Source organism: Homo sapiens, chromosome 9 (assembly GCF_000001405.40).
Source record: "Homo sapiens chromosome 9, GRCh38.p14 Primary Assembly".
Classification (NCBI taxonomy): domain Eukaryota; kingdom Metazoa; phylum Chordata; class Mammalia; order Primates; family Hominidae; genus Homo; species Homo sapiens.
In genome coordinates this window covers 104,515,970-104,538,385 of record NC_000009.12, presented here as the reverse complement: position 1 = coordinate 104,538,385, position 22,416 = coordinate 104,515,970, and the positions used below count along the sequence as shown (strand labels likewise).

At 37.2% G+C, this 22,416-nt stretch overlaps 2 protein-coding genes and 1 long non-coding RNA gene across 3 annotated transcripts in view, besides 1 other annotated feature; all 3 read left to right on the top strand.

Moving 5' to 3' along the window:
• LOC107987105 (uncharacterized) overlaps positions 1-8,175 on the top strand; it is a 217,429-nt gene extending 209,254 nt beyond the window's left edge. The window contains exon 5 of the long non-coding RNA XR_007061705.1: positions 8,054-8,175. This is a non-coding gene — a long non-coding RNA (uncharacterized LOC107987105). The remainder of the gene's footprint in view (positions 1-8,053) is intronic.
• Positions 1,530-2,637, top strand: OR13C3 (olfactory receptor family 13 subfamily C member 3). The gene has a single exon (NM_001001961.3). The coding sequence runs from the start codon at positions 1,663-1,665 to the stop codon at positions 2,614-2,616; it is 954 nt and encodes a 317-aa protein (NP_001001961.2). The 5' UTR covers positions 1,530-1,662; the 3' UTR covers positions 2,617-2,637.
• A 3,001-nt stretch (positions 8,176-11,176) lies between the features above and the next one.
• OR13C4 (olfactory receptor family 13 subfamily C member 4) lies at positions 11,177-12,133 on the top strand. The gene has a single exon (NM_001001919.1). The coding sequence runs from the start codon at positions 11,177-11,179 to the stop codon at positions 12,131-12,133; it is 957 nt and encodes a 318-aa protein (NP_001001919.1).
• Positions 19,532-19,750: a silencer, noted in NCBI's record as "fragment chr9:107280917-107281135 (GRCh37/hg19 assembly coordinates)". NCBI's record gives its function as "represses an EF-1alpha promoter that drives an FKBP-Casp9 reporter gene in an ReSE screen in K562 erythroleukemia cells {active_cell/tissue: K562}" and the evidence as "EXISTENCE:reporter gene assay evidence [ECO:0000049][PMID:32094911]".

Sequence of the window (22,416 nt, the reverse complement as noted above, 5' to 3'; positions counted from 1 at the left end):
GTTCTTTTCTTATATCCCTACCTAAATTGTGAACTTTGTAATGACAGGCACTTTAAAAATGCTGCTTTTTAAAAATATGTGTTTCAATAATATTTTTAAAGGGTATTTTAAAAAATGGTGTCAATCTGGAGTTTCCGTAAAACATCAAAGAATTATGCTCTTGACATTTTCAAGGTTCTTATTGCCAATCTACACAATAAGGCAAAAAAAACTGGCTTGAATTAGAAACATCTAGATAATTGGCCAACTTAGTATAGACTAAGCCTTGCTACTCAAGTGATTTTGGGACCAGTGGCATAAGCGTCACCTGGGCACCTGCAAGAAATGCAGAATCTCAGGACTGGCCTGAACACTAAAAGAGAATCTGAAGGTTTTTAGGTTTCCCAGATGTTTGCCGGGTGTGGTGGCTCATGCCTATAATCCCAGCATTTTGGGAGGCTGAGGTGGGCAGATCACAATGTCAAGAGATGGAGACCATCCTGGCCAATATAGTGAAACCCCGTCTCTACTAAAAATACAAAAGTTAGCTGGGCATGGTGGTGCACGCCTGTAGGTGGAGGTTGCAGTCAGCCCCGATCGTGCCACTGCACTCCAGCCTGGTGACAGAGTGAGACTCTGTCTCAAAAAAGAAAAAAAAATTCCTAGATGCTTTACGTGTATATGAAAATTAGTGAAGCCAAGAACTAGACTTTGTGTCGAAAATATTAGCTTTACATTACATTTTATTATTTACTACCTAGTTAATCTTGGCCAAGTTCCATATTTTATAGTTGAAAAATGGGGTTAATATAAAGAATATTATAATTTGTAAATGGTAAAGTGGTATACATACACATGTATACATATTTATATGAAATATTTAAACATTATTACTGTTTTTATTGGTTGATTTAAATGAGTAAATTATCAAGACAGACTCTTAAGCTACAGAGTAAAATATGTAAAGACACTATATAATGTTCTCCAAAGACTATCACATTCATGCGGAGCTGTTCTGGGCAATGGTCTTGTCATAGGAACAGTCATAACAAGATACTATGAGATCAACAACTAACTATGCCTTTAAACAATTGTCAAATTTCAGGGTATGTGATTCAATGTATTATTATTAAGTGTCTGTAAAATACACAATTAAACTAACTATAAGGTATTAGTATCAGGCCTAGAAAAAAATATAAACACACAAAAATGTCAAAGTTGCTGTGAAATTTTAAACACTTTATAAATTGCTGAATTAAAATTCCAGTCTTTGTTGAGTAGTCTTTTGCCCCCTTTACTGCTTGTTTGCTGGGGTTGATGAAATGAAGATGTTAAGCTTAGAGTTGTTGATTGGCCAGGGGTTTTAGAAACCTCAGCTCGGGAGAGTGTCCTCAACTCAGGAACATGTCCTCAACAGCAGGAAAGGTTCCGTCTGCATGTGTGTCTGATCGTGGGTAGATCTTCACATATTGGCGATGCGGTATAGGTGCTTCCATCATTCCCAATTTCATTGTATTCTAGTCACACACATTACTGAAGATAACTGGATGTCAGAACTTCAAGCAAGCACTCCTTCTAATATGTGTCAAAAGAATGATTGTTCAGTTAATTTGTACTGTTTGTTTCTTGGCAGTAAATACATTTCATGTTAGATCTTCTTTTGATTTCCTGAAAGCAGATGACATGGGTGAGATTAACCAGACACTTGTGTCAGAATTTCTTCTTCTGGGTCTTTCTGGATACCCAAAGATTGAGATTGTTTACTTTGCTCTCATTCTAGTTATGTACCTAGTGATTCTAATTGGCAATGGTGTTCTAATCATAGCCAGCATCTTTGATTCTCATTTTCACACACCAATGTACTTCTTCCTGGGCAACCTCTCTTTCCTGGATATCTGCTATACATCCTCCTCTGTTCCCTCAACATTGGTGAGCTTAATCTCAAAGAAAAGAAACATTTCCTTCTCTGGATGTGCAGTGCAGATGTTCTTTGGGTTTGCAATGGGGTCAACAGAATGTCTGCTTCTTGGCATGATGGCATTTGATCGTTATGTGGCCATCTGCAACCCACTGAGATACCCCATCATCCTGAGCAAGGTGGCGTATGTATTGATGGCTTCTGTGTCCTGGCTGTCCGGTGGAATAAATTCAGCTGTGCAAACATTACTTGCCATGAGACTGCCTTTCTGTGGGAATAATATTATCAATCATTTCGCATGTGAAATATTAGCTGTCCTCAAGCTGGCCTGTGCTGATATATCCCTCAATATTATCACCATGGTGATATCAAATATGGCCTTCCTGGTTCTTCCACTGATGGTCATTTTTTTCTCCTATATGTTCATCCTCTACACCATCTTGCAAATGAATTCAGCCACAGGAAGACGCAAGGCATTTTCCACGTGCTCAGCTCACCTGACTGTGGTGATCATATTTTACGGTACCATCTTCTTTATGTATGCGAAACCGAAGTCTCAAGACCTGATTGGGGAAGAAAAATTGCAAGCATTAGACAAGCTCATTTCTCTGTTTTATGGGGTAGTGACACCCATGCTGAATCCTATACTCTATAGCTTGAGAAATAAGGATGTAAAAGCTGCTGTAAAATATTTGCTGAACAAAAAACCAATTCACTAATGAAACCAGGACATGTAGGTCTTTGTTTAACAGTCACAAAGATGGACTCTTAGGTAAATCAGCCTGAACCTTTTTTGGAGAAACCATGGTTAGAGAGACAGATTTTTATCCTTTGCCTTTACTAGCCCTGCTCATCTAGAATCACTGATAACTATAGTTTGCTACAAACTCCAGCATGCCCTGATCCACGTTTCACAAACATAATTAATTCTCTTAGAATCTCATCCCTTGTGATGTCTGAAATGAGTGTTTCTGTGTAGAAACATAGTGGAAAACAATCACACTATAAGCTTTGGAAATAGAGAGCAATAGTACAAAATCTGCAGTTCCGTAAACTACCTAGGTGATATTGGATAGATTATTCTTTCTTTCTAAGACATAGTTACCTTACTTGTAATAAGGAAATAAAATAATAAAAAAATCCAGGTCCCAATATCATTTAATGTTTCAATAAGTTGGAGGAAGCACCTAACATAATACTGGCTTCACAGTGTCCAAGAATTTCAGAATTGAAGCTAAGACTCCATAGTGAGGACTAAAAGTTGCTATTTATCCCCTCTTTTACTCTCAGCTAATAATTACTAGAGCCAGATGTCTCACTGAAAGTCACCCCATTAAGGTAATATTTTCTAAAATTTTAAAATTCAATATTTTCTAAAATTCTAAAAAAAATAAAAAAGAATTAAAAAAAGAAAAATTGGCCACCTCCCAAATATATCATTCTAATGTTTCTCTTAGTAAGTAGGAATCATGTATTCATCATGTTTTTATTTTGATTTATTAGATCTACTATGAGCACTTGGGCCAAATTTTTTTTTAATGTCCAACACATGTTTTCACAGGATAAATTCTAAGGCATGAAATTAATAGGCCAGGTGGTATAAACTTTTAAAGTTCCTGGCTAACTTACCATTGGAAAGGTCGTATTACTACCCTAAATACCATTATATGTTTCCCCCAATATGTTTGCAGCTCTATTTAAATACATACGCATACACACATATATCTCCATTTATACATACACACATTTGTGTTTATATATATATAAGAATATTTTTTCTTTAAAACATTTTTTTGAGAATTTTCATTTTCAAATATTTAACAAAAGAATGAGAATAATGAAAGTCAATGTATAATTGCACAGCTTAAATAATTACACATGGTCAACCTTCTTTCATCATTATCCATACCCACTTATCTTCTTCCTTTACTTTAAAGCAAATTCTGGACATAATTACATCATGTTATATATTATGTAATTATGTCCAGGACATCTGTGTGTGTACATATTTAAATGACACAAATCCAACGATCCCCATTCACATTGTAGTCTATGAGAATGCACTTCCAGAACACAAGTTGTGATATGAATGATGCCTCCTCCAATTAAGAATAAGACAGTGCTGGTGAGGACTGTGAACCATGAAAAGGGCACATGAGTCACATAAAAGACGTTATTTCTTACTTCAGTGGGTTGTTGCCATAAGATAATTCAGGATGTATATTGACTGATTTTCTAAATTTCAAGAAAAGCCTGGACATCATAGTGAGACCATGTCTCTACAAAAAATTAAAAATTAAAAATTAATCAGGTATGATGATGCACGGCTATGGTCCCATTTACTTGGGAGGCTGAGATGGGAGGATCACGTGAGCCCAGGAATCCAAGGCTGCAGTGAGCTATGATTGTGCCACTGCACTCCAGCCTGGGTGACAGAGCAAGACCCCATCTCTTAAAAAGAAATTAATACATTTCGAGATAGGCCAGATTTTTAAATTAAGCATTGCAACATTTACCCAGGGTTGGCTATTTTACAGAACACATGTGATTCCAGATTGTGTACTCATGTAAGTCTTTAAGAGAGATACAGGACATGGTCATGATACAGGAGGAAGAAATTTCAGTCCAAAAAGGAGAGTTCTGAAAACTTCAATCATACTTTCCAGGCCACTTTTGAGAAACTGTCTTTTAGAACAATTCAATCAATGTTGAATTCTACACCAAATACATTGTTGTTAACTGCTTATTGCTTAAATAGAGTTTGAGTGTATATTTTGAACCCCAAATGTTGATCTTCCTAGGTTACTGTCATACTGTAGTAGTAACGTCCAAATGTATCTTAGAGTATGCCAAAGAGCTTCTCATAGGCTCCTTTTATAGCTACAATTACTTCTCCTTTCCTCCACTTTTAATTTATTTTACTTAGATTATCTTCCCTGGAGTAGGACTGTTAGGTTCAGCTAGAGAACTGACATAAAGTTGCCAGCAATATAAACCCTTTATCAATTCTGTTATATTGGAGTAGAGTTGGATAACTGCAAGCATATAGGCCTGCTTCATCCACCAGGTAGGAAAGACAGAAACCATTAATCCCACTTTTAAAAGGTGAAAAGAGAGAATGATCCATATTATCATTCTTTTAGGAATATGGGCAGTAGTAATATTTAGATGTATTGTCATGGTGTTGTAGTCAGCAAATAATGTTCTGGAACTCATGAATGCAATGAATGTCCCGCCAACATAGAAGCAGGCAAATAAAAAGAAAAAGTGTTAGAAACAGAAAAGTTTCTGTGAATACCTGTATCATTCCCACTATCTTCTCTATATCTTCTACAATAACTCAGTAATAGATCCATTGGTGGTCTCCATTTAATTCCATGTATAGCAAGTTTTAACACACATTCATTCAGTTGTGAAACACATCCCTTTAGTCCTTGTTACCCTCCAATTTTGTAAGCAGGGGTTTCAGTTGTTCATTTCAATTTTCATTTGTCCATGTTTTTGTGAATGGGAATGGATATAAATCTACTATTTATGATGCTTTGTTACTCAATGTTGAATTTTAGGGTTCTTTAACAAGGTGACCAACATCCAAATTAAAATAATACATTTGCTCTTGGCCTATACTAGTGGTGTTAGTAGTATTTGCTTTATTTGCGAGGTATGCAAACCTAAATCCAGAATAAGTGTCTGTCTCTGTCAGTATTCACTGTTATCCACCTGGAAACCAGATAATGGGCCAGTATAACCCATTTGCCAGCAATGGCTCCTCCTGGATCCTTTCAGTAGCCGACTTACAACTGCCATTCATCTCTGATTCTTCTGCTGAGAAGCAGATCAATTTTTATGTATATTTCCTGCTCTTGAGGGAGACAATGGGATGCATATATTTTCATACTTTGTTGCATTGCTCGAATGCCTCTATGCCCTCTCATCTTATGTCCCCTAGAGGCCACTTCCAAAAAGAGAATAAAGGCTCCCCTTTGTTGATTCTAGTCCTTTTCTGAATTCAGTAGGGAAGTTCTATAATAGATATAGGTAAGTTTCACTCCAATAATCTCTCTTCAGGTTAATAAAATGTCTCACTGCTCACTCCATGTAGGAGTCCTTTATCTTCCAGTCATATGAGGCCTATATTTTCAGACTATTCCATTAGCTATTGTCTAAGAACTGGTAAAAATTCATATGCTATTGTTATTGTCATTATCTGGTTCTTCTGAAGAGTGACTGTTCTGAATTCTCTCTAGGTCAAATACTAACAATGACTTGGGAATAGTATTTCATCACTTTTACCACAGTTTACTCATCTATAGGAAGAAAAGTCTTACTAAGTGATTTTTGCAGAGTTTCTAGCTCTAGACTTCTATAATATTAAAAAAACTCTTGACATATATCTATTCGTATTTAATGTACACACACCACGGTTTGTGGTGTGTGTGTTGGTTGAGAGGGCTATGTTTGTATGTATGTGTTTGTGTCTGTGTGCGTATATAAATACTGTTTTTGCTTTTTAAGTAAATTGTTATTTCTGAGAATTCAAGTATTGTACACGAAATGTGACATCTACTAGAAAATTACAGTGACAATCTAAGTGTTAATATCTAAAATATAGCTTAATAGACTTTGCTAAGACACTTTAATTCAATAATGTCCTTTCTTCCCAATAATACCCCAAACTATCAATTCTGGATTTTTTTTCACTTTTTTGGCCTTAAACATATAGAGTTGCTTTTGTCCCATGGATCTATTTATTTTCTTGCTTATCTGTATTTCTTTTCATTTCAAAAAACTTGAAAATCGCATGCTGCATAAAATTAATTTTTCAAAAAGAATAAAGTAAGCAAACAGTTAATCACAATGCATTTAATTCATAGATACTATCCATTTTATTTCGTTCATAATATCGAGGTCATTTTTAGTAAACATCACTTGAATTATTAATTTCTTACTTTGAATTAACTTTGGTAGATATATTTTAAACTAGGACGCTCTCACATTTCATAAAGTTTGTTTGGTGAACATCTGCCCCTGCTCCTAGAAGTTATGTGGGCAGGAGAGTGTTATTTCATTTGTGAGCTTTAGTTCACCCACAGTCTATTTCCAGCACCCCTCTTAATTGGGTCTGTGGGACACTGTCCCTAACGCACCAGAAGTTTCTCCATTCCACAGATCTCTCACTCCAACTTTAAATTGCTTTGCGAAATGGGGAACAATTACAATAACTGTTGCATAACAAATATGTACTGTTCCACATCTATGGAACCTGACATCTTTTGTTGAACCTGACTTTAATTCATAATGCTGACGTAAATACTAGGAAATAGTACCTGGTTCTTCTAGGAGGGAGACATAATTTATCATTGTAAAGGTAAGTCCTGAATACCATGAAACTGTACCTTTTATATTTATAATTAAAGCTATTATTACATGTGGATTTATGGTGTGAATATCATTAGGCAATACAGCTATCAATGTGGTATTATTATCAAATATGGCTATGATAATAATATTATCATTATTATGATCTGCATAGTGCTGGTTAATCCATAAAGCAGTTTCCATATGCTAGCTGAATTTTTTCTCAAAACAAACCTGTGAGAAAAGTAGGGCAGGTATTTCCATAACTATTTAACAAATGAAAAACGAGTTACATATTAGAAGAAAAAATAACCTCAAAACTAGGATTTTTGTTTCTGAATCCCAAGCACTTTTTAACTAGGCTAACCCCATGCCATATCTGTTCAAGTGTGAATTAGGTGATGCCTTTATACTGGCAGTGCATAAACCAGTTAATCTCTTTATAAGTTGGCAGCTTATTAGTACTGACAGAAAGATATATTTTCTGTTTTTTTTTTAACAGATTACTTGCTGCAAATAAACACTTTGTGCATATTAAAGTTCTGAACATTAATCTGTAAATACTGCACAGGGAAATTGCCTAAGAGCCTAGAAAAACCCATCTATTATGTGTAGCCACCGTGTTAGGCCATAGGTGTAGAGGAATGGGCAAGACAAGCAAGCTCCTTCCCCATGTCTCGTGTTATCTCACAATACATGAGAGAACCAATTTAAAGAGCTGGGATAAGAAGAAAACCAAGGGTAGCAAGACAGGCTTGGCTTAAGGTGGATTGAATTGGTGAGATAATTTCTTCCTAGGAGGGGAAGGCTTGGAGCAGATGGCAGAAGAAGCTGTTTAGGTAGCCTAAAATGCATTGTCATTACATTTGTCTGGAAGGCAAAGCCTGGGCTGGAGATCTAGGCGGGATCTGGCACATCATCACCACCTTTCCTGGTAAGTTATTATCTTTCTGTTTTCTTCCGTTTGCTTTCATGACTGGGCTGCTAGCGTGTTGATGTTACTTATCCAATGCATCCTCAAAGGATTTCTGTAGCCTGCTTGAGAGAGAATTTTGACCTATGCTACGAAGTACTGTAGAAAGGTTTCACAGCAAATAGACTGTTCTAAGGCATATGATTCAATCCCACAACCGTGAACCTTCTTCCATGATGAGAAGTACTAAGTCCTCAAGAATTAATCATTCTCCTTGTACATTTTTAACAGACTAAAGTTTCACCTTTATGAACTCCATTTATTATGTTACTCACTGACTGTTCTCTGTTGTTGACACATGATTTCTATACAGATTTTAATGCTACCTTTTAGAGAGAGAAGTAGTGGAAGGAGAATGGGCTTTGGATTTTGCCTTTGCCTGTGCTAGTCATGTGACCTCAGCCAGGTAAGCAAATTTCAAGCACAGGATCTGGCACATAGAAGTCTGCAATAGAAGTTGTTTAAGTGATTTTATTCACTTAAATAAACAAAAAGCATTTGTTTTTTTTTTCAATAGGTACTTCTAGTCTTAAGCTGAGGAAATATAGATTTAAAATTTCTTTGAGGCTTAATTTTCTCATCTCTAATTTGGAGATCCAACATTTATTTGTGCTTCTCTTAAAAGTTCAGATGTTCTACTGGTATTCTTTAAACTGTTTCTGAAGTGAGAATCCCTCTGTCTGGTTTGGCTTCTGACTCCAAGACATCACACACTGTAGAGAAATTTTTCACTTATCATCACATAACAAACTGAATGTTAGAGTAGGGGTTGAGCCTCTGCAGATATTCTCAAAACTGTTAGCCCACGTGAGCCCTAAACCTGCAATTTTGGTTAACCTAAAAACTGGAGGTTATGAAAAGATGATGATGGGCTGTGTGTGTGTATGTGTGTACCAGGCAGTAATTGATAATAACCTAATTAATCTAAGCATCTTAATTCCTTGTGTCACATGTCTATTCAAAACCTCATAAAATCAAATTATATAATGTCAGGTTTGAAAGGTAGCTAAAGTTACAGGGGCTAAGCAATCACCTTGTGCTGGGTGTTCTTATCTAATAATAAGTCCCTTACATACAAAAGGGAATGCCATTTTTTTTCTTCCTAACCTTTGGGCCCTTCTATATGCCTGCCTCATTAACTTTTCAGTTGTGTTTCTGCTGAAACTCCCCTGGTACTGCCAATCTGCTCCTCTAAAACATTAAGCTGCTCTCCCTTCTGGAATAGCCCTGTTTCTCTCTTCTCTTCCAAACCTGCCCCATTCCTTTTGTGCTTCCAGACCTGGTATAACTTTGAAATTCTTTCAGGACCCTCACGTGATTTATTTATTTCTCCTTTACTTCCTCCTTCTGAGGTTACTTATAATATTCACCCTGGCCACATGATATAATAATATTCTTTATCAAATTGTTCCATGTGTAGTTTTTGTGTTTTTGTTATTGAATTATGAACTTTTTGATGGTAGACATGTTGTGTCATACTTTTTCCACCCTTACTTGTGTTGGAAGAGGACTGTGCTCAAGTTAGGAAATCAGTAATATCATACCCATATTATAGCAGTCCAGCAAAAGTTTATCCTGCTTTCATAAAATGTTTCAATAGCATTTATTTTCTGAAGTATACTGAACAGCAAGATGTGGCCCTGGAGTATGCTGGCAAACACAAAAGAATTAGGCTTTCAGTCATTTTCCAGGTTGTTAAGCCAGTCCATATAATAACACAAAAGAAAATCTATTTGGATCAGAAATCTCTGGATACTCTACTAAATCACTATAGATAAACCAATGTCTTGCTACACAAAATGTGCCCTCATCTCAGTGGTTCAACATACCCTGGGAACTTAATAGACATGAAGAATCACAGGCCTTGCCCCAGACGTGCTAACATAAAATTTACATGTTAACAGTATCCTCAGGTGATTTATGTGCATATGAAATTTGAAAAATTGAAATTCCATCAAAGCTAAAAATTTTGGATAGTACTTTGCGAAAACAAGGTAAAATAACTTTTGGTGTTGCCATCCAAAGAGCTGAGCTTTAAGTTTCCCTTTGTACATATAGGCCACATTCTGTCTTTTACATTTGAGAAAAGCAAATTAAGGATAATGAGAAGATTCATTTGCTTTTGTAAAGTGCTGCACACACATACACACAAATATGTTTGACTATTATTCCTCTTTTTTCAGGTTTACTTAAATGAATTCTCAAGATTAACTCTGAAGCCATGGTAAAACAAATAGAGATCATGTATTGTTCTCCAAAGATTCTCCATCATATACTTGTAGAGCTGGTCTACACCATGATCTTGTCATAGGGAATAACAAAATAGTAAGAGTGGGATGTTAGAATGAGATCAACAAATAACTTTACCTTTGAACAGATGTTAAATTGCAGTGTGTGGGGCTCAATTTACTATTATCAAATATCTTCCCTATAAAAATACACATTTATCTGACTGGAAAGACATTCAGAGTTTTAGGCAGACAAACAAATGTATGTGAACATCTAACCTGCTTTAAAATTCTGAACATTTCTATTAAACGCTGGGTCAAAATTCTGGTTCTTGTTGAGTTGTCTTTTTTCTTCTTTGCAGCTCTCTCACTGGGCTTGACTAAATGAAGAAGTTAGGTTTGTTGTCTGCAATAATCTAAGGCTTTTAGAAAACTCAACTTGGGATGTCCTCAACAATAAGAAAAGTTGTGTCTGTATTTACTTCTGATCCTAGGTAGATCTTCACATATTAGATACAGGGCATAGAAACTCTAAACATCCTAGTGTGGCTGTATTCTAGGCACAAATACTATTGAAGATAACTCAATGGCAGAGCTTTAAAACAAACAGTCTCTATTTCACCCTAGAGTAATGTTTATTCAAGTTATTTTTTACATTTGTTGCTTGGCTGTGAAAATATTATACATTGGGTCTTCCTTTGGCATCCTGAAAGCTGGGACATGGACAAGATAAACCAGACATTTGTGAGAGAATTCATTCTTCTGGGACTCTCTGGTTACCCCAAACTTGAGATCATTTTCTTTGCTCTGATTCTAGTTATGTACGTAGTGATTCTAATTGGCAATGGTGTTCTGATCATAGCAAGCATCTTGGATTCTCGTCTTCACATGCCCATGTACTTCTTCCTGGGCAACCTCTCTTTCCTGGATATCTGCTATACAACCTCCTCCATTCCCTCAACACTGGTGAGCTTAATCTCAAAGAAAAGAAACATTTCCTTCTCTGGATGTGCAGTGCAGATGTTCTTTGGGTTTGCAATGGGGTCAACAGAATGTTTCCTCCTTGGCATGATGGCATTTGATCGTTATGTGGCCATCTGTAACCCTCTGAGATACCCCATCATCATGAACAAGGTGGTGTATGTACTGCTGACTTCTGTATCATGGCTTTCTGGTGGAATCAATTCAACTGTGCAAACATCACTTGCCATGCGATGGCCTTTCTGTGGGAACAATATTATTAATCATTTCTTATGCGAGATCTTAGCTGTCCTAAAATTAGCTTGTTCTGATATATCTGTCAATATTGTTACCCTAGCAGTGTCAAATATTGCTTTCCTAGTTCTTCCTCTGCTCGTGATTTTTTTCTCCTATATGTTCATCCTCTACACCATCTTGCGAACGAACTCGGCCACAGGAAGACACAAGGCATTTTCTACATGCTCAGCTCACCTGACTGTGGTGATCATATTTTATGGTACCATCTTCTTTATGTATGCAAAACCTAAGTCCCAGGACCTCCTTGGGAAAGACAACTTGCAAGCTACAGAGGGGCTTGTTTCCATGTTTTATGGGGTTGTGACCCCCATGTTAAACCCCATAATCTATAGCTTGAGAAATAAAGATGTAAAAGCTGCTATAAAATATTTGCTGAGCAGGAAAGCTATTAACCAGTAAGATCAAAGGGATATATGGGTCTTTTATGTATAATTAGCTTGCCTTAGCCATTTGACAATGTACATATGATATGGTTTGGCTGTGTCCCCATCCAATTCTTGAATTGTAGCTCCTATAGTCCCCATATGTTGTAGGATTGACCTGGTGGGAGGTAACTGAACCATGGGAGTGGGTTTTTCACATGCTGCTCTCGTGATAGTGAATAAATTTCATGAGAACTGATGGTTTCATTAAAAGCACAGTTCCCTTGTACCTGCTTTCTTGCCTGCCACCATGTAAAATGTGCCTTTGCTTCTCCTTCACCACCCACCATGATTGTGAGGCCTCCTAGGCATGTGGAACTGTGAGTCCATTAAACCTGCTTTTCTTTATAAATTACCCAGTCTTGGGTATTTCTTCATAGCAGTATGAAAATGGACTAATAGAGTAAATTGGTAACAGGTAGTGGGGTGCTGCTATAAGGATACCTGAAAATGTGGAAGTGACTTTGGAACTAGGTAATAAGCAGAGGTGGAACAGTTTGGAGAGCTCAGAAAAAGATAGGAAAGTGTGGGAAAGTTTGGAACTTCCTAGAGACTTGCTGAATGGCTTTGACCAAAATGCTGATAGTGATATAGACAGTAAAGTTTAGGCTGAAGTGGTCTCAGATGGAGATGAAGAACTTGTTGGGAACTTGAGCAAAGGTGACTCTTGTTATGCTTTAGCAAAGAAACTGGTGGCATTTTGCTTCTGCTCTAGAGATCTGTGGTACTTTGAACTTCAGAGAGATGATTTAGGGTATCTGGCAGAAGAAATTTATAAGTAGGTAAAGGATTCAAGAGGAAGCAGAGCATAAAAGTTTGGAAAATTTGCAGCCTGACAATGCGATAGAAAAGAAAAACCTATTTTTTGAGGAGAAATTCAAGCCTGCTACAGAAATTTGCATAAGTAATGAGGAGCCAAATGTTATTGCCAAGACAGTGGGGAAAAAGTCTCCAGGGCATATCAGAGACCTTCCTGGCAGCCCCTCCCATCACGGGACTGGAGACCTAGGAGGAAAAAATGGTTTCCTGAGCCAGGCTCAGGGCCACCCTGCTGTGTGCAGCCTAAAGACTTGTTGCCCTGTGTCCCAGCTGCTCTAGTCATGGCTAAAAGGGGCCAGGGTAAAGCTTGGGCTATGGCTTCAGTGGGTGCAAGCCCCAAGCCTTGGCAGCTTCCACATATTGTTGAGCCTGCAGGTGCACAGAAGTGAAGAATGGTTTGGGAACTTCTGCCTAGATTTCAGATTTATGGAAACATCTGGATGTCCAGGCAGAAGTTTGCTGCAGGGGCAGGGCCCCCATGGAGAACCTCTGCTAGGACAGCACAGAAGGGAAATGTGGGGTTGGAGGCCCCGCACAAAGTCCCCACTGGGGCACTGCCTAGTTGAGGTGTGAGAAGAGGGCCATTGTCCTCCAGAACTCAGAATGGTAGATCCACCAACATCTTGCACCATGCATCTAGAAAAGCCAGCCTGTAAAAGCAACCGAGAGGGAGGCTGTGCCCTGCAAAGCCACAGTGGTGGAGCTGCCCAAGGCCATGAGAGCCCACCTCTTGCATCAGTGTGACCTGGACATGGAGTCAAAGGAGATCGTTTTAGAACTTCAAGGTTTAATGACTACCCTATTGGATTTGGACTTCATGGAGCTTGTAGCCCTTTGTTTTAGTCAATTTCTTCCATTTGGAATGGGTGTATTTACCCAGTGCCTATATGCGCTTTGTATCTATGAAGTAACTAACTTGCTTTTGGTTTTACAGGCTCATAGGCAGAAGGGACTTGCCTTGTCTCAGATGAGACTTTGGACCATGGACTTTTAAGTTAATGCTGAAATGAGTTAAGACTTTGGGGGACTGTTGGGAAGGCATGATTGGTTTTGAAATGTGAGGACATGAGATTTGGAAGGGGCTGGGGCAGAATGATAGGGTCTGGCTGTGTCCCCACCCAAATCTCATCTTGCTCCTCCTCTGACGTCTGCCATTATTGTGAGGCCTCCACAGCCATGTGGAACTGTGAGTTCATTAAACCTCTTTTTCTTTATAAATTACCCAGTCTCAGGTATTTCTTCATATCAGTATGAAAATGGACTAATACAATACTTGTATTAAAAGATCATCTTGTGTACCATAAATATGTACAATTTTTGTCATTTAAAATTAAAAGAAGCAGCATAGAAATGGCATTATTGTGCAACTATTGAGGACTTTATCTGAGAAAAGCAAAATTATGAGGAGAGATTTTTATTCTTTGCCTTCACTACCTTTGATCATCTAGAATCACTGAGGACAGTAATCTGCTGTTACTGAAATTCTAACAGTAAACAGATTCGAATGGGTTCTGACCCAGATCTCGTGAAGACAATAAATTCCTTCAGTTATTTTCTCTGGCAATATCCAAAACAAGTATATCTGGTGTATTTGTGGCAACACAGTAGAAAACACCAAACAAAAGCTTTGAAAATAGATGGGAGGAGTATAAATTCAAAACTACTTTAGTAGTATCAGGCAGGTTTATTCATGTTTTTAAAACTGTAGTTTCCTTATTTCCAAAAAGGGAGTAAATAAACCCTGCTCCCAGTGTTATTGTAAAGATTCAGTAAGTTGCACAAAATACCTGACATAATGTGCCAAGTTCATTGTAGTTTCCTTTGTAGAGAACGTTGAGATTGACTTTTCCTATGAGTCCCAACTGAGGAACTGAAGTAAGGACTCCAAAGTGAAGACAAAGGATACTAGCTAGCACATCTTATTTTTGTAAGCCACCAATTATTTGGGTCCATATATCTTTCATAAATCTTCCTACCATTGTCAATCACCACACCTGCTTGCTCATTCTCCCACATATTTGTATAAAGAAAACATCTGAATCCTGTGGAAGACTGGAAACACTGTTCTAATCTAAGTCAAGTAAGAAGGTACTGCAAAAAAGCGAGTAAGAAGGTACTGCAAAAAAAACTCTTGAGGTTTTGGGTGCCTGCAAAGGAAGAGAAGCTGACATCTGGCTTGGTGAATGGGGCTTGCTGAGCTTTCCCTCTCTAGGCTGTAGATAACAGAGGAACAGGTCAACAGGTCTAGAAGGGGGCTGGAGGATGAGTATTTTACGCTGAAAATAACCAGAAGCGTTTGGGACATCAACAAGATAAACCAGACATTTTTGAGACAATTCATTCTCCAAAAAGGCTGAAATTAGTGACTGTTATAGGAAAAGTATTTCATTTTACATTCCAGTGAGTTTAAACTCTTCAGTAAACCTATTACAATCCTTTTTGTTTCTTTTTCTGTGGATTCTTCTGACATGGCCAAGCACAGCATATCCTTGCTGCACATCACCAGTCGTTTTTACAGCTGCTTTTAGCCTTAATTTCCTATGTAAATTTCCTTTTTCTGTTGGTTTTAGAGCCATGACATGACCCCCGTCCTCCTACATGGGGGGTTTATGCCCAGCCAATCCACTTTCTTGGTTTAGGCTTAGATGATCTAGTCACTGAAGTCCTGCTGCACTCCTACTATCCTACCAGGAAGCATGGGCTGTACAATAAACCTCTAGCTGTGGATCCCTCCTTTTACTTAACTTGAATCACACTGGATGCTGGTTTTGGTTCGATTAGGACAAGTGTGCACCACACTCTGTGGGTGAGGCTTTTTAACTTCTGCCCACTCCCACTGGGATGAGCCCTATGTGTCATTCTGACCCTAGTTTAGCTTTTTCCCAACTTTGACTTATGGCACTCAGCTTTTAGGAACATGTCAGTATGACAAGGTCCTGCTTCTGTTGTCTCTTAAGCATTTTATTTTATTTTTTTCCATAAGGGGAAGAGGGCCAGCATCTCATACCTGTGTTTATATCAGATTGAATTATTTATTTATAAAAGTTGATACAAATGCTTTCCACTGCTTTACAAAAAGTTGGTACAATATTGTTCCAGTTTAGACAAGTTCTATTCATGTTGATGAATGCTCAGAAAATTAAGTTTTAAAACTAATCTGTCCTCCCAGAAAATTGAGAAATCTCAAAAGATTATTACATGTATGACTTTGTGACGAATAATAAATATTTTAGAAAATTTTAAAAATTGTGGAGAAGTATAAAAAAGTAAAAAATGTTATCACTATTGCTACCTCCTATAGCAAACAACTGTTAAAATTTTATTATTTCTCTCACTAATTTGGAGTCATAAAATTAATCACTTTTTGTTATGTACTATGAACAACTGGAATTACTACTTGGAAAGTATTTTTTAAATGTATGTGCAACTTTTTAGGTTTTTACAGAATAAATTATAGAAAATTAAATTATTATGAGAAGTGATATAAATTTTTAACTTCTCTTGTTAAATTATATCCCCTCCCCTAAATTATATCATGCTTTGTTAATGATACTCTAAGGGCTTCCCCATATTGTTACAGCTCTGGTGTGTGTGTGTGTGTGTGTGTATAAACATTTAATTTTGGAAAATTTTAGTTAAAAGAAAAATAATTTTTTAATTAAACCTCGTGTGCCACTTATCTTTAATTAGGAGCTCATTGTTTTATTATTATCTGTACTTAGTTATCCCTTTTCTCCAGATTATTTTAAGCAAGTACTGGGAAAAATGTCTTTTATTTTGAAATAATTTTAGACTTATAGGAAGTTTCAAGAATCACAAAAGAATTTCCTTTAATCCTTCACCCAGAATCTTTAGATATTAACATCTTACCACGCTTGTTTTACCCTTTCTTTCTCTTTATATATACATGTATGTGTGTATATTATATTTATTTATATACAGCTATTTGACAGTAAGTTGTAGATACTATGTCTCTTTACTCCGTAGTATTTTACTCTGTCTTCTTAGCATCAAAGACATTCTTTTACCATAACCATAATACAATTATCATCATTCAGTTACAATACTATTATTGAATTTAATGGTCAGTAAATAATAACTTTTGGCAAAATCTAGCCCACTACCTGTATTTTCGTGTCCCCCAAACTAAGAATTATGTCTACATTTTTAAACTGTTGAAAAGAATTTTCAGCCTTTTTGCACTGGTTTCTCCCCATCTTTGTGTATTTATCTACCTTTGGTCTTTGATGTTGGTGACCTTCGGATGGGGTCTCTGAGTGGATGTGCTATTCCTTTCTGTTTGTTAGTTTTCCTTCCAACAGTCAAGCCCCTCTGCTGCAGGTCTGCTGGAGTTTGCTGAAGGTCCACCCCAGACCCTGTTTGCCTGGGTATCACCAGCGGAGGCTGCAGAACAGCAAAGATTGCTGCCTGTTCTTTCCTCTGGAAGCTTTGTCTCAGAGGGGCACCTGCCAGATACTAGCCAGAGCTCTCCGGTATGAGGTGTCTGTCAGCCCCTCCTGGGAGGTGTCTCCCAATCAGGATACATGGGGGTCATGGACCCACTTGAGGAGGCAGTCTGACCCTTAGCTGAGCTCGAACAGCATGCTGGGAGATCTGCTGCTCTCTTCAGAGCCATCAGGCAGGGACGTTTAAGTCTGCTGAAGCTGTGCCCACAGCCGCCCCTTCCCCCAGGTGCTCTGTCTCAGGGAGATGGGGGTTTTATCTATAGGTCCTTGACTGGGGCTGCTGCCTTTTTTTCAGAGATGCCCTGCCCAGAGAGGAGAAAACTAGAGAGACAGTCGGGCCATAGCGGCCTTGCTGAGCTGTGGTGGGCTCTGCCCAGTTCGAACTTCCCAGCAGCTTTCTTTACACTATGAGGGTCAAACCGCCTACTCAAGCCTCAGCAATGGCGGACGCCCCTCCCCCAACCAAACTGGAGCGTCCCAGGTCGATTTCAGACTGCTGCTGTGCTGGCAGCGAGAATTTCAAGCCAGTGGATCTTAGTTTGCTGGGCTCCATGGGAGTGGGACCTGCCAGGCCAGACCACTTGGTTCCCTGGCTTCAGCCCCCTTTCCAGGGGAGTGAACAGTTCTGTCTCGCTGGCATTCCAGGTGCCACAGGGGTCTAGAAAGAAAAAAAAAAACTCCTGCAGCTAGTTTGGTGTCTGCCTGAATGGCCTCCCAGTTTTGTGCTTGAAACCCAGGGCCCTGGTGGCACAGGTATTGGAGGGAATCTCCTGGTCTGTGGTTTGCAAAGACTGTGGGAAAAGCCCAGTGTCTGGGCTGGAGTGCACCGTTCCTCAGGCTCAGTCCCTTACAGCTTCCCTTGGGTAGGGGAGAGAATTCTCTGACCCCTTGTGCTTCCTGGGTGAGACAATGCCCCACCCTGCTTCGGCTCGCCCTCGGTGGGCTGCACCCACTGTCCAACCAGTCCCAATGAGATGAACTGGGTACCTCAGTTGTAAATGCAGAAATGACCTGCCTTCTGTGTCGATCTCGCTGGGAGCTGCAGACTGGAGCTGTTCCTATTCGGCCATCTTGAAAAGAAAGAACTTGAGCATCCATAAAGTTATTAAAATTTTTTATTTGGAAATAACTATAGAATCAAAGTAAATAATATATAGAGTATCATGTACCCCTCATCAGCTTCCTCTAATTATGACATTTTGTGTTATGGTAGCATAATATCAAAACCACAACGTTGTCATTGGTTCAATACTATTAACAAGACTGTAGAATTTGTTCAGTTTTCACTGTTTTTTCATGTATTCATGTGTCGCTGTGTGTGTGTGTAGTTCTATGCAATTTTATTCCATGTATAGATTCTTGTAACCACCACCATAATCAAAACATGTGACTGATCAGTCACTACCAAGGAACTCCCTCTTGCTACCCTGTGATGTTTTACTTCATGTGTCAACTTTGTTAGGCCACGGTACCCAGTTGTTTGGTCAAATACCAATCTAGATGTTAATGTGAAGGTAGTTTTAGATGTGATTAACATTTCAATCAATACCTTTTGAGTAAAGCAGATTACCTTATGTAATGTGGGTGGACCTCATTCAATCGGCTGTCAACATTAAAAAACTGAGTTCCCCAGAAAAGAAAGGAATTCTGCCTCCATAGTGTCTTCATTCAGACTCGAGCCTACAACAACTCCTGCCAGAATTTCTTGCCTGCCCTGCAGATCTCAGATGTGGCATCCCCAATATTGCATGAGTCAATTCCTTAAAATAATTTTTTTGCTTGTGCTCTCACGCTCGCTCTCTCTCTCTCTCTCTCTCTCTCTCACACACACACACAGCTCTGTACAAGGGATTTGTTCTCTTCTTTCTTGCCTATTAAACTTTCTGCTCCTTAACCCGCTCCATGTGTGTGAGTCCATGTCCTTAATCTGTGTGACATGAGATGACGAACCACAGGTATTTCCCCAGACAACGAAACTACTTCAGTGATTTTCTAACTCCATCATTTCTTTTACATTTATCCTACTGCTATCTGACAGTTCATAGGTATCTAATAAATGCTCTGGATAGTCAGTGAAGATATTCCACTTTGGTTGCTTGAATGTCTCCCAAATGTCTCCCAAGCCTTTGCGAGCTTTGGGAATAGTTGGGCTTGTACTCTCTATTCTTCTTTGCTTGGACCCATGAAGCTTCAGCATTCTGCACGTGTGGCTTAGTATTTAGCAACAGCTACAACGGAACCCTTTTGGTGGTCTCTGGAGCTTTTTCTTTGCCAAGGCTTTTTTACTTCCAGAACTCTTCACTGAAAACTCTAGTTGTCTAGTCTCCTGAATTTTATTCTGATCCTTTTCAATCTAGTGAGACCACTGTGATCTTTTTGGGATCCTTTTCCATGAACCAGAGTCTAACAAGTAATCATAAGGTTCTCTTAATTTTAGTTTTCTTTCCCCCAAAGTCACAGTTTTGCCTTGATTGTTCAATTTTTAAAAACTATTATTTCATTTATTTTGTCCAATTTTCTAATAGTTCATGATCGAGGGTAAAACTGGTCTTAGCTAGTTTATTATTGCCAGAAGCAGACGTTCCCTGTAGCTTTTCTGATTGTATCATTTTTATTTTGTCAGAACATATAGCATTCATATATTATACTTGCATCCTCATTCCCAGCTTTATTTTCTTAGATCTATAATTAAATTTATTAAATGCTTTCCACTTAGCTTTTTGCCCAAGTTTCTTTATCTTTTTTTGTTTGAGTATTTTCTCATCAACTCCACAAAGGGATTGTGAGTATAGCATTCCTTGGATCTTGCACTTTTAAACATATTTTAATAGCATTGATATTTGAAGGACAATTTGAATGGATAAAATTTTTTGGTATGTGTTTTCTGAGTGTTTTGAAAATGCACTACATTGTATGATTATTTTGAGAAGTCTGATGCTGAATTAAGACTTTTTCCCTTGTAAAGTATTAATCTTTTTAGTTTAAAAACTTGAAGATTTTTTGTTTTTATCTTCAAACCTTAATAGTTTTACTGGGCTATGTCTTAGGATTGATTAAGCTGTGTAAATTTTTCTAGGAATCTGGTGAATGCTTTCAGCATTTCTATATTTACAGAAATTTTTTCTAAACTTGTTTTAAATACTAATTCTATTCTATTGTTTTATTTTCTGTTTTAGAGATTCAAATTTTACATACTTGTAAAAGAAACGATATTTCTTCTTTGCCTGTGTTTCATTTCAACTACGTGTGAATAGATTTTCTTGAACTTTGTTTTGTTGATTGCTTTACTGCCTTTATTCAAGGCCCTTATTACATTTCATTTTAATCTATTGTTACCTTGGCTATGTTTATTTTAGTCTTCATTTCCAAAATCAGTTTTTTCTTTTCTTTCTTTTCTGAGTTCAATCAAATATCTTTTCATTTCTTCCTGGTGTGTTATTATGTCCCTTTCTGTAAATTTTTGAATTTCTGATTCAATGTGGTTTTAAACTCCCCTGAAGTGCTTAAGGATATATATATAATATATATATGGATATATATATATTATATATGGATATATATATTTATATATGTGTATATATATTATATATTTATATATTATATATATTTATATATTTATATATTTATATTTATATATTTATATATATCAGTTTGTAATGTTGTGTTACCATTTTTATTTACTTCTTGTGTATTTTTACTTTTGATGGGCAGGGGCAGAGATTTCCATCAGCTAAGGGGTTTTGATTCTCATTTTCTATTTCATTTTATAGTAGTTTTGAATATAGCCTAGTTTAATCTATTCATTTCATTATTTTGGATAGTTTATAACATTTTTAGGTCACAAGTGCCCCTCATCTGTCTGTGATGTACGGTAAAATTTCATTACATGACTGCTTTGCTTCTTTATAGCGTTAGCTTACTAAAGCCAATTTTACTCTTTGTCCTGAAAGCTCTTTGTTTCTCCTCCTCCTGCATTTTTATATTGCCTGGCTACATGAGGAGGAATTGTATGCTTTCTGATATTTTAGTCTTTTTCTTTTGCAGGATCCAAATTTTTCTTTTTTTCTTTCTTTTTTTTTTTTAACTTCAAGATCTCCAAAGGTTCCTCTCCCTTCCTTTTCACTTAACTTTTACCCAAGAAGCCATGGCTTTCAAAGATAGCTACCTCAAGTCATACATACCTGTGTTAAGGGCTCTGTCCTTGGTTTTAGATCAATCTTAAGTCTGCCTGCTTCTATTCCCTTCTGTCTTTCCATGAAAATCTTTGCTCACTGGGAGCATGAGGTGGGTTAGGATTTGGTGTTAAATTTTGTGTTTACAGGTAACTTGAAGTTTAGATATTTTCTTATTTCTAGTTATGTCTACTATGTGGGTTTGGAGAGTTTTATTTTTTCTTCTGTTATATTCTGTATTTTTGGAAGATATGTAGGGAGGTGTGGATTTAAGCAGCTGCCATTATCATCAACTACTCATAAGTGTATATGCATTTTTAAAATGTTGACCATTTAATAGATTGAAAATAACATCTCATTTCTGAATTTGTTAACTTTTATTTGCATAGAAGTGAAATTGAACATGTTTGTGTATTCATTTGCTAGTCTGTGTTCTTAGTTTATAATTTATATTTATTATTTATCCATTTTCTACTTTGGTTTCAATGGAAATTTGGACAAAGTAAATACATTAAAAATTCCATTCGCTTTTAAAAATTCTTTATATATTGAGGTTATCATTAGTTCATGTATATAGTAGTTTTTTTAATTTTTAAAGATCTTTGATTGCTTTTCATATTTTGTATTTATAATGTTAGCATTATTTTTTCATGATAATTTTTAAGCAACTGCTGCTTACAGAGAAACCATTAATTATTACATATTTTTATGTTACTAGGTAACTAAACATTTTTACAATTCCAATAGATTTCTTGGTTGATTCTCCTCCATTTTCTTTAAAAAATTGGATATTAGTATTGGTA